The 13,773-nt window shown below is 35.1% G+C and overlaps 1 long non-coding RNA gene across 1 annotated transcript in view, besides 1 other annotated feature; it reads left to right on the plus strand.

The window, feature by feature from the left end:
- The window catches only part of LINC02046 (long intergenic non-protein coding RNA 2046), a 119,066-nt gene that overhangs the window by 17,382 nt on the left and 87,911 nt on the right, over window positions 1-13,773 (plus strand). The window lies entirely within an intron of this gene.
- Window positions 317-506: an enhancer, noted in NCBI's record as "active region_20676". NCBI's record gives its function as "activates an Ori minimal core promoter by ATAC-STARR-seq in GM12878 lymphoblastoid cells {active_cell/tissue: GM12878}" and the evidence as "EXISTENCE:reporter gene assay evidence [ECO:0000049][PMID:35858748]".

Below are 13,773 nucleotides of genomic sequence, written 5' to 3' on the forward strand. Positions count from 1 at the left end.
ACATTGAAGGATTTAAAATGTACATAAGTGGTATATAATTCTTCACATTCTATAATTCACTCTTTTACTTGATTTTTAAAAAGATTTATCCATGTTAACACACACACGCTTTATTTATTTTGAAATCCAAGTATTATTCTGTTAGATGAATGTACAATATTTATCTGTTTTCTAATTGATGTACATTTTACCTGCTCCATTTTCTATGATTTTAAATTATTCTGCAACTCTCCTTACTAATTTATATGAGCATTTTTTCATGGGGAACATCCAGGGGTAACAATTTCTGTGTCCCGAGATACATCAGCTTTACTATATACCAAACTAATCTCCAGAGAATCTGAACTATTTAACACTCCTGATAGGAGTATCTGAGAGTTTCTGTTTCTCTAACACTTGTTATTGTCAGATCATTTTTCAGTTTTGTTTTTCAGTTTCAGTTTTGCCAGCGACAGGTGTAAAAGTTCTTTTATGGTTTTAATTTGCTTCCCGTGATTACTAATATAGTTGAGCATGTTTTTGCTCATTTCTTGGCCATTTATATTTTTTTCTCCTGTGAATTACCTATTCATATCCTTTGGACATTTTGATTGGCAGTTGATACTTCTGTTTGTTATTCACATGGGCTGCAAATGTCTTCTCTTAGTATGTGACTAGTTTTTCACTTTGTCTATAGTTTCTTTTGTGCAAAAAGTTTAACTTATTGTGTTGCAAATATATCACAATCTTCCTTTCTTTCTCTCTCTCTCTCTCTCTCTTTCTTTTTCTTTTTTTTTTGGCGGAGTCTTGCTCTGTCACCCAGGCTAGAGTGCAGTGGTGTGATCTGGGCTTACTGCAAGCTCCACCTCATGGGTTCACGCCATTCTCCTGCCTCAGCCTCCCCAGTAGCTGGGACTACAGGCACCCGCCACCACGCCCAGCTAATATTTTTGTATTTTTTCAGTAGAGATGGTGTTTCACCGTGTTAGCCAGAATGGTCTCGATCTCCTGACCTCGTGATCCACCCGCCTCGGCCTCCCAAAGTGCTGTGTTTTCTTTCATAATTTGTGTTTTTTTGTGTCTGGAGTAAATAAATCCTTTCTTATCTGAAGGACATAAAGATGTTACTCTTTATTTTACTCAAAAAGTTTTAAAGGACCTAATTTAACTTTTTCCATATGGATAAACAATTATCCCAACACCGTTTACCTAACAGTTCATCTTTTTTCCTCATTTATTTGTAATGCTATGTCTGTCATACATTATTGTCATATATGAATGGATCAGTTTCTAGGCTTGTTATATTCTGTTGCTCTATTTATTAATCATGTACTGATATCTTTATTATTCATTTATTAAAATTTTTGTTATATGTTAGGTCAAGTTTATTATCCCAGTTGTTCAAATCATCATAGTGGTTTTTGGCCATGTGATCTTGCATTTGTAGTTTTTGAGTTCCACAAAAACCTCCCAAAGATTTCCTTATGTAAATTGTATTAGATTTTGAGATTAATCTGTGGTGCATCATCAAAGTTTTCCCAACAAACAATCATATGAACATAACTTTCCATTTATTCAGGCTTTTAAAAATCATCTCCAGTAATTTTTCACCTACAGTCTAACATTCTGTATAACTTTTTCTACTTTATAGAACATATTTTTATTGATTGATTTTTGTTAATTATTGGTGTATTCATTATCAGGAATGATACTGATTTTTGTATGCTGGTGAGTTTTAATAATCTGTCCACAGAATCCCTTAAATTTCCAATGTAGGTAATCATATGCTTAACAAATAAGGGGAGTTTTATCTCTTCCTTTGTGATTATTATTATTTCCCAGATTTATTTCCTTTTCTTTCTTACTGTAATCATTTTTGAACATTGTGTTGACCATTACCTTTTAGAAACCATAAGATTAGGCATCTTTTTCTTATTCCAGACTATATTAGTCCATTCTCACACTGCTGTAAAAAGACTACCCGAGACTGAGTAATTTATAAAATAAAGAGGTTTAACTGACTCACAGTTCTGCATGGCTGGGGAGGCCTCAGGAAACTTACAATTGTGACAGAAGACGAAGGATAGTTAAGGCACCTTCGTCACAAGGTGGCAGGAAGAAGAAGTGCCAAGTGAAAGGGGAAGAGCCCATTATAAAACCATCAGATCTTGTGAGAACTCACTCACTATCATGAGAACAGCATGGGGAAAACTGCCCCCATGATTCAATTACCTCTACCTGGTCTCTCCCTTGACATATGGAGAATATGGGGATTACAATTCAAGATGAGATTTGGGTGGGGACACAAAGTCTAACCATATCACTGACTTAATGGAAATGCTCATCATTTTCTTTTAGGTTTTTGATAGGTAACTTCAATAAAACTAGGAAAATTCTTTTTTATTGATAGTTTTCTTGCAATTTTTTAACAAAATATCATGAATGAATTTTAGAATTTGCTAAAGGAGTTTTCAGCATTTATCTTCATATGGTATATTTTCTTTGACTTGTTAATATGATATTTTGGAATAGTAGATTTTCTGAAGTTAAACTATTTTGTGTTCCAATATTATAATTAGTTATGGTGTATTGATTAACTGAAAGATAAATTTGGTTTGCTAGTAGTTTAGTAAGATAGTATCTTCAGATTTTTTGCATGCATTTGTATCAATATGTCTATTTTTAAAATATTCTCCTAATTACTGTAATATATCTAAACATTAGTCTAGTAGTATCTGTGCTTTTGCTGTTCTCCAAAATGGTAGGTGTAAAATAAACACGTCTGGCTCCCTCGAAAGCTTGGTAAAACTTATCTTCTCAGTTTAGTTTCTTTTGGGGTGGTTTTGTTCACCTTCTAGTCATGAGGTTGTGACTATGCCTATTCTGTATCTCAGCAGGAGCTATAAGCAACTCTAGGACTTCAAGTAGCAAACCTCATTTTGGTCCCCTTTCTTGAGGGTATATTTTAGATCCTGGAAACTTCTGCCTACTGAGAACCTAAAGTTAGGAAGTTAGGAAGGCCATATCATCATCTGCTCACAACTTTTCATTTCTTTTCTGTTAGTGGCCAAAAAAAGATTTTGCCTTTGCATTTGAGAAAGGCCATGTCCTTCTGACCTTATTTTATATTTTACCCATCTTTGATAAGTGTTTGGAACAAAGGGTGTTATCAAAATATGAAATTTTGTCATAGTTTTAATTAAGCACCTGTAAAACTTAGTTTTCTTTTTCAAATATTTGATAGCTAGACGTATTCGTTTCCCAGAACTGCTACAATAAAGTATAAACTGGACAGCTTAAAACAACAAAAACATATTATCTCACAATTATGAAGTCTCAAAGTCCAAAATCAGATTTTCTGAAAGATCATGCTCCCTCTGAAGCTTTCAGAAAGGAGTGCTTCTTTGCTCTTTTCTAGCTTTTGGTAGTTTGCGGGTAATCTTTAGTGTTCCTTGGCATTCCTTGGCTTGCATCTGCAGCACTTGAATCTCTGCCTGTTGTCACATGATGTTCTCTCTGTGTCTCTCCTCTCTTTTTATAAGGATGTCAATCATATTGGATTGTGGGTCCACCTACTGACTTCATTAAATATTTGTTATTATTATTATTATAATTTAAGTTCTGCGGTATATGTGCAGAACGTGCAGTTTTGTTACATAGGTATACATGTGGCATGGTGGTTTGCTGCACCCATCAACCCATCACCTATATTGGGTATTTCTCCTAATGCTATCCCTCCCCTAGCCGCCCACCCCCCAACAAGCCCCAGTGTTTGATGTTCCCCTCCCTGTGTTCATGTGTTCTCATTGTTCAACTCCCCCTTATAAGTAAGAACATGCAGTGTTTGATTTTCTGTTCTTGTGTTAGTTTGCTGAGAATGGTGGTTTCCAGCTTCATCCATGTCCCTGCAAGGACATGAACTCATTCATTTTTATGACTGATAGTATTCCATGGTGTATATGTGCCACATTTTCTTAATCCAGTCTATCATTGATGGGCATTTGGGTTGGTTCCAAGTCTTTGCTATTGTGAATAGTGCCACAATAAACATACATGTGCATGTGTCTTTACAGTAGAATGATTTATAATCCTTTGGGTATATATACCCAGTAATGGGATTTCTGGGTCAAATTGTATTTCTAGTTCTAGATCCTTGAGGAATCACCACAGTGACTTCCACAATGGTTGAACTAATTTACACTCCCACCCTGCAAAGACATTATTTCCAAATAAGTTCATATTCACAAATACTAAAGGTTAGGACTTTAACATATCTTTTTGGGAGACATACACTAATTCAACCCACAACTTTAGGCATATGCTGTGACTAATTATATCAATTATATTTTGAATTCAATATATATTGAATTTAATATATATTGAATTATTTGAATTCAATATTGAATGTTATATATAATCATATTTTTTAAACTTATGTGTGTCTTTGTATATCAAAATATACCCACAAACACACGCACAGAGATATGGTTATATGCATATTTGTAATTTTCTCTTCCCACCATATCAAACTTTGACATCCATTTGTTGAACTCTGACTTGCTTCCCTTAATTCTATTATACATAACACTGCTCCCTTTGTTTGAATTGAAGCTACTGTAATTCTGACTGATTAACCTAGTGAAAGGCAGTCAGGAGAAAGGTCCCAGTCTTCTTATTCTAATAGCAACAAAAAAGTGCCTTAAGAAAAACAATCTATCAATACAATTTCTAAATTATAATGAACAAAAATAGTATGGAGCTCTTTTAGATTGGTAAAATCTACCTCCCTGTAATTTGTGGCAATTTTTAGTTTAAAAAAATCAGGTGTTTGGTATTGATTAAAGAGGGAACAAAGCATAAAATCTCACCTGCAGTAACATGTCAAAATTTTGCTGTAAACTAACAATTCAGGGAATACAGCCACTCCAGGACACCCAACAGAAATGTGAAACAACTGGGAAGCAGGACTACTGCAAAGCATGGCTAAATGACCTAAAATGCATTTTGGAGTAGAGCATATGTGTGTATAGTATAAGATAACAAATTAGCTGTTTATAAATTAAAGATTCTGCATCATCCATAAATATTTATGGAGCACAGGTCATTTGCAAGGTCCACGTATTAAGTTCTTATGTAAGACATTATACTATTTTTTAAAGTATATCACCTGCGTTAAGAACTTGTATATGTAGAAAGGGGGAGATACAAAGTAATATGTGCAAGAAGGCCATTACATAATGGTAAAGGGATCAATTCAACAAGAAGAGCTAACTATCCTAAATATATATGCACCCAATACAGGAGCACCCAGATTCATAAAGCAAGTCCTTAGTGACCTACAAAGAGACTTAGACTCCCACACAATAATAATGGGAGACTTTAACACCCCACTGTTAACATTAGACAGATCAACGAGACAGAAAGTTAACAAGGATACCCAGGAATTGAACTCAGCTCTGCACCAAGCGGACCTAATAGACATCTACAGAACTCTGCACCCCAAATCAACAGAATATACATTTTTTTCAGCACCACACCACACCTATTCCAAAATTGACCACATAGTTGGAAGTAAAGCTCTCCTCAGCAAATGTAAAAGAACAGAAATTATAACAAACTGTCTCTCAGACCACAGTGCAATCAAACTAGAACTCAGGATTAAGAAACTCACTCAAAACCGCTCAACTACATGGAAACTGAACAACCTGCTCCTGAATGACTACTGGGTACATAACGAAATGAAGGCAGAAATAAAGATGTTCTTTGAAACCAACAAGAACAAAGACACAACATACCAGAATCTCTGGGACACATTCAAAGCAGTGTGTAGACGGAAATTTATAGCACTAAATGCCCACAAGAGAAAGCAGGAAAGATCCAAAATTGACACCCTAACATCACAATTAAAAGAACTAGAAAAGCAAGAGCAAACACATTCAAAAGCTAGCAGAAGGCAAGAAATAACTAAAATCAGAGCAGAACTGAAGGAAATAGAGACACAAAAAACCCTTCAAAAAATTAATGAATCCAGGAGCTGGTTTTTTGAAAGGATCAACAAAATTGATAGACCGCTAGCAAGACTAATAAAGAAGAAAAGAGAGAAGAATCAAATAGACGCAATAAAAAATGATAAAGGGGATATCACCACCGATCCTACAGAAATACAAACTACCATCAGAGAATACTACAAACACCTCTACGCAAATAAACTAGAAAATCTAGGAGAAATGGATAAATTCCTCGACACATACACCCTCCCAAGACTAAACCAGGAAGAAGTTGAATCTCTGAATAGACCAATAACAGGCTCTGAAATGGTGGCAGTAATCAATAATTTACCACCCAAAAAGAGTCCAGGACCAGATGGATTCACAGCCGAATTCTACCAGAGGTACAAGGAGGAACTGGTACCGTTCATTCTGAAACTATTCCAATCAATAGAAAAAGAGGGAATCCTCCCTAATTCATTTGATGAGGCCAGCGTCATCCTGATACCAAAGCCAGGCAGAGACACAACCAAAAAAGAGAATTTTAGACCAATAACCCTGATGAATATTGATGCAGAAATCCTCAGTAAAATACTGGCAAACCAAATCCAGCAGCACATCAAAAAGCTTATCCACCATGATCAAGTGGGCTTCATCCCTGGGATGCAAGGCTGGTTCAATATATGCAAATCAATAAATGTAATCCAGCATATAAACAGAACCAAAGACAAAAACCACATGATTATCTCAATAGATGCAGAAAAGGCCTTTGACAAAATTCAACAACCCTTCATGCTAAAAACTCTCAATAAATTAGGTATTGATGGGACGTATTTCAAAATAATAAGAGCTGTCTATGACAAACCCAGAGCCAATATCATACTGAATGGGCAAAAACTGGAAGCATTCCCTTTGAAAACTGGCACAAGACAGGGATGCCCTCTCTCACCACTCCTATTCAACATAGTGTTGGAAGTTCTGGCCAGGGCAATTAGGCAGGAGAAGGAAATAAAGGGTATTCAATTAGGAAAAGAGGAAGTCAAATTGTCCCTGTTTGCAGATGACATGATTGTATATCTAGAAAACCCCATTGTCTCAGCCCAAAATCTCCTTAAGCTGATAAGCAACTTCAGCAAAGTCTCAGCATACAAAATCAATGTACAAAAATCACAAGCATTCTTATACACCAATAAGAGACAAACAGAGAGCCAAATCATGAGTGATCTCCCATTCACAATTGCTTCAAAGAGAATAAAATACCTAGGAATCCAACTTACAAGGGATGTGAAGGACCTCTTCAAGGAGAACTACAAACCACTGCTCAATGAAATAAAAGAGGATACAAACAAATGGAAGAACTTTCCATGCTCATGGGTAGGAAGAATCAATATTGTGAAAATGGCCATACTGCCCAGGGTAATTTATAGATTCAATGCCATCCCCATCAAGCTACCAATGACTTTCTTCACAGAATTGGAAAAAAATACTTTAAAGTTCATATGGAACCAACAAAGAGCCCACATCGCCAAGTCAATTCTAAGCCAAAAGAACAAAGCTGGAGGCATCACGCTACCTGACTTCAAAGTATACTACAAGGCTACAGTAACCAAAACAGCATGGTACTGGTACCAAAACAGAGATATAGATCAATGGAACAGAACAGAGCCCTCAGAAACAACGCTGCATATCTACAACTATCTGATCTTTGACAAACCTGAGAAAAAGAAGCAATGGGGAAAGGATTCCCTATTTAATAAATGGTGCTGGGAAAACTGGCTAGCCATACGTAGAAAGCTGAAACTGGATCCCTTCCTTACACCTTATACAAAAATTAATTCAAGATGGATTAAAGACTTACATGTTAGACCTAAAACCATAAAATCCCTAGAAGAAAACCTAGGCAATACCATTCAGGACATAGGCATGGGCAAGGATTTCATGTTTAAAACACCAAAAGCAATGGCAACAAAAGCCAAAATTGACAAATGGGATCTAATTAAACTAAAGAGCTTCTGCACAGCAAAAGAAACTACCATCAGAGTCAACAGGCAACCTACAAAATGGGAGAAAATTTTCGCAACATACTCATCTGACAAAGGGCTAATATCCAGAATCTACAATGAACTCAAACAAATTTACAAGAAAAAGACAACCCCATCAAAAAGTGGGCGAAGGACATGAACAGACACTTCTCAAAAGAAGACATTTATGCAGCCAAAAAACATGAAAAAACGCTCATCATCACTGGCCATCAGAGAAATGCAAATCAAAACCACAATGAGATACCATCTCACACCAGTTAGAATGGAGATCATTAAAAAGTCAGGAAACAACAGGTGCTGGAGATGATGTGGAGAAATAGGAACACTTTTACACTGTTGGTGGGACTGTAAACTAGTTCAACCATTGTGGAAGTCAGTGTGGCGATTCCTCAGGGATCTAGAACTAGAAATACCATTTGACCCAGCCATCTCATTACTGGGTATATACCCAAAGGACTATAAATCATGCTGCTATAAAGACACATGCACACGTATGTTTATTGTGGCACTATTCACCATAGCAAAGACTTGGAACCAACCCAAATGTCCAACAATGATAGACTGGATTAAGAAAATGTGGCACATATACACCATGGAATACTATGCAGCCATAAAAAATGATGAGTTCATGTCTTTTGTAGGGACATGGATGAAATTGGAAATCATCATTCTCAGCAAACTATTGCAAGGACAAAAAACCAAACACCGCATGTTCTCATTCATAGGTGGGAATTGAACAATGAGAACACATGGACACAGGAAGGGGAACATCCCACTCTGGGGACTGTTGTGGGGTGGGGGGAGGGGGGAGGGATAGCATTAGGAGATATACCTAATGCTAAATGACGAGTTAATGGGTGCAGCACACCAGCATGGCACATGTATACATATGTAACTAACCTGCACATTGTGCACATGTACCCTAAAACTTAAAGTATAATAATAATAAAATAAATATTAAAAAAAACAAAGTAATATGTGCACATTACTTCAGTGATCAGCAAATTTGTACGTTATTTCTATGTTTTCATATGTGTCTCAACTATTGCTTTATTGATGTGACCAATAACTTAGTTTCACTAGTGATGTATAAAACATCAAAATCAAGAAATATCAAACTATGCTAGGGTTTCTTATTTTCTTCTAATGCTATTTTGTGGGTGTTCAATATATCTTTGTGTGGTAAAAGTAAAAGTCCTCTCAGAGGACAATACCCTCAGTCATTATCTTATGAAAATATGAGTCAACATAGGAGCAGTGCCCTATTTCAGATTGTGATTGATAGATAATAGTCAATTTGCTTTCACTTTTACCATAACAAAAGTGCTATTTCTCTGCTTCACCTGCTGGACGATGCCAGCTGGTTGGGAACCAAATCTCTAAAAGTACCAATTAAAATAAAAATAGCTAAATCTGGAATAAGTAATAAAGTACAGCTTTGGAACACTGTGAAAATATATAAGTGATCATTAGCAACACCTGCAGTCTACTTCACTTTGCTTATAATGACTCATTGACAATAGTCTAATGATAGCACAAAAGGCTGAAAAGTGGAAACCGAGAAACTTCAACTTTCTTAGTGATAATTAGACTCAATTTCTTATAATTTCTTTTTATACTAACTCGTTTAACTTATATTTATATCAAACAGCATCAACATATCTATCCTCAAATTTTTCCATTATTCAACTAAAATACTCTGTGATAAAAAGAGGTATTTTTAAAAATCAGTAAGTTACTTATTAAATCAATATCCTCATCTATAAAATGAGGAAATATGTCTAGCCGAGGACTGCACAGAGAGTGCCACTCTTTAATCCCACACCCAAGGTGGACATTGACTATGGAAGTTTTTCTGGTATGGATTATTCACAGCTTTTTCTATAAGGCTCTGATGTAGATTTTCTTGTTTCTTAAACCTATGATCTGAAAGAATAGTTATCTTCTGCTCTTTTCATATATTGAATATACTATGCTATAATGGGGATAAGATAATTGCAATGAGGATTATCATTTAGAAAAAGAAACAACGGAAGAAACAGATCAGTAAGTGGTATGTGGCAATGCAGAAATTGTCCAGGACCAGACATTGTGAAGATTCACTATCTTAGGGATGAGCATTTACACGATTAGACCTGAGTCTGCTCTCTGGGTCCTTGACCACTATCCATTATGGCCCTTGTCTTGCCTCCTGCAATAGTCTCCATTTTCTGTTATCTTGGTTGGATGTATTCGTAATGGATGTTGGAAAATATACCTTATTTATAGTCCATTTTATGATAACGCAAGAGTGGCAAATATAGTTGTAAGTCCCAAAAAGTTAAAAGAATTTGAGTAGAGGCTTATGATTTATTCAGGAATACAATTATTTCAAAAACTTAGTTCTATTTGCTTTCAGTCAGACTTGTAGCTGGTACAAACACTCATTTTTATTGTAATCATGTCTTTGAATGTGATTATTATTTCACAATCTTGATGAATATTTTCACTGTGTATAGAATTCTAGTATGGCAGTTCTTTCCTTTCAGCAAATTAAAACGATCATCTACTGATACCTGCCTTCCATTGTGAACATTGAGCAGTCAGCTGTCAATGTAACAATTCAAAGTAATCTATAAACCCACAGTTCTTGCTTTCATGATATTTTCTTAAGATTTTTCTCCCCTCTTTTATTCTATTTTTTAAAAAGATTTTGCAGTTTTACTAAATTGTAAAGTCAAGGATTCATACTGATTTTCTTATGTAAACTGTACTTTACAGTAATCAAATACTCAATGGGAAAAGTGTCTCCTTATAAAAAGATTCCAATTAATACATAAGGAAATAATAATAGAATTATAGTATATCCATTTTGTAACTTCTAATCTATGAATAGATGTAAACATTGACTAGTTCCTGTTACTATTGTTATTTAACAATAGTAACCAGTCCTTGGTAGATTTAAACAATCTTTTATTTTGCTCAGAATTTTGTGTTGGAAATTCAGGAAGAATTTCTGGCTGGGCATTTCTCTCTTGGGGTCTCTCAGGCAATTCTAAGTAAAGGTCAGCCAAGGCCACAGTGATCTGAAGACTCAACTGGACTGAATATCCAGGATGGTTGGTTTTCAAGGCTAAAAGATGCTGGCTCTCAACTGAGAGCTCTAATGGGATTGACTGGAATATCTACAAGTGGATTATCCAGCATAGCAATCTCAGAGTAATTAGACTTGTCATATCGCGGTTGTTCTCAACCTTGGAACTATTGACATATTCTTGTAGGGGGGTCTGTCCTGTGCATTGCAGGATGTTTAGCAGTATCCTTGCCTCTACCCACTAGATGGCAGTAGCACCACCCTCCCTATTGTCTCCAGACATTACTAAATGTCCCCAAAATGGGAGAGAGGATTAATCGCCCCAGAAAGGAAAAGATTGCCCTAGTGAGCATCCAAAAAGAGCCAGGGGAGCTGCATAATTTTTCTCTGATCTAGCTTCAAAAGTCTCACAGCATTATTTCCACTGTACTCTACTGGTTACAAGAAAATCACTAGAGTAAATTGAGATTTGAGGAGAATCTCTTAATGGTGGAGTGTCAAAAAATTTTGAATATGTTTTAAAATACCTACAAATGGTGAATGACATCAAAAAATGAAGAAAATACATGTGAATCTGATAAAACCTCTAGTTCTAACCGGAAATTTATAGAGAATACAGGGAATATACTAAATAATACACAGGGATTAATGAGCAAAATCCAGTTGTTCCAGGTGATGGGAAAATCTAAAAGTTCAAAGACCAAGTTTATCCAACAAATAAAATTCAAGTCGAAAAAGACTGAGGAAAAGCCTAGAGATTAAAACAGACTGAAGAGACATGTCAACCATTACAATGCATATATTTTATCTGAATTATGATTTCAACATTGTAAGGAAAAATTAGACAACCAGAGAATTTGAATACTGAGTGAATATTTGATAATATTAAGAAATATTGTTAAATTTTTTCCTATGTTAATGTTATTGAGTTTTTTTTTAAAAAAAGATTTATTTTACTTTGGAAACATTCTGAAATAATTGAGGCTGAAATAATATGATGTCTGGAATTTGTTTCAGAATAACACAGGGCTTGAGTAAGGGGATCAGGCATTTCTAATTTTTAAAATTCATATTTGGAAGATTGTCACAACTTTGTTCACTTTTCATTACTTTTACCAAATTGTTATATATATATAAAATTTTATTCAAATTATAAAATATATGCCCATGATAAAAATTTTTGACAATAGAGTACTCTTTTAGGGAAAAATAGCAATAACTTAAAACATAGAGAAAACCAACATTAAATTTTTCTATGCTTCCTTTTGGTCATGTTTCTATTCATAGACGTAATGGAAACATAATTCAGATCACATTGTATTTACCAATTTCTCAGTCAAAATTATATAGTGTACATTTTCCTATATTATTTAAATTTCTTCAATATTTCTCTGACAATAAAATTTTAATTGTGGACATGTAAGTCCTGCACAAACAACTTAAATCCAAAGTCTTTTTCTGAATATTTAAAAAATATATTGTAAATGAAAACTTATTTTCCCACTGCATCTACTCATGGGTTATGAATAGCATAGATTTAAAAATATTTTTTAAATCTCAAATCATTTATTTTAGAAGTTTTTAATTGTTTCTCTTAGATTTTCTATGTATAATTTGTATTTTTTTTCCATTTTTCCAATGATATGTCTTACTTCTTTTCTTTCTATGCTGGCAACATTTTCAACACATCATTAAATAATAATGATCCTGACAATTATATTTTTAAAAAGTATGTTCTCCAAAATTTAAAAAATCAATATCAGATAATATGAGTGCTTCCAAATCCAGGATGTCATTTCAGTTTTGTTCAGTCCTCAGAAGACACAGATTCACAGAAGTCTCTGGTGCAGAATAGCACCAAGAATTCTGGCATAACAATGGGCTATCTCTGTTCATAGGATCAGATTTCATTCAGTCATAATATTTGAGTCAATTCTAGGAGGATTAGAGATTGATCTCGAAGGCTTTAGGTTCAGAAAGTCTTTGGGGGTTTAATCTAATGATTGCTATCACTGATATAAAGATGGAGAGCTGAGATGAATTCAGAGACTGAGCTCAAAGCCTTTGAGGATATTGAAAGCTATAAGAGCCCACAACACAAATCCAAGGTTTGTAAATTATGGACATTTGAAAACAGTTTCTTATCCTGAGGTCAGATGGCAAAGAGAAAAACAATTACTGGCCGGGTGCGGTGGCTCACTCCTGTAATCCCAGCACTTTGGGAGGCCTCACTTGAGGTCAGGAGTTCAAGACCAGCCTGGGCAATATGGTGAAATCCTCTCTCTACTAAAAATAAAAAAATTAGCTGGGCGTGGTGGCACACACCTGTAGTCCCAGCTACTCGGGAGGCTGAGACAGAAGGATCACTTTAACCCAGGAGACAAAGGTCGCAGTGAGCCAAGATCGTGCCACCGTGCTCCAGCCTGGGTGACAGAACAAAACTCTATCTCAAAAAAAAAAAAAAAGACTGTAAAAAAATGATAAACTCTGAAGAAGCACAACTATGGCTCACAAATTAGTGATTCTGAACATTGAGGTAAGTAGCCAGCAATGGGCATATATTATAGAGACAGATGACACTTTTGCACATCATTAAAGGAAAAAGAACAGTCGTCACATATTTTTTCATTAGTCAAAGAAATGCTTTCGTATTAGTAAAAAACAAAAAAAAATTGTTCTGATCAGCCATTTT

Source organism: Homo sapiens, chromosome 3 (assembly GCF_000001405.40).
Source record: "Homo sapiens chromosome 3, GRCh38.p14 Primary Assembly".
In the NCBI taxonomy this organism is placed as follows: Eukaryota; Metazoa; Chordata; class Mammalia; order Primates; family Hominidae; genus Homo; species Homo sapiens.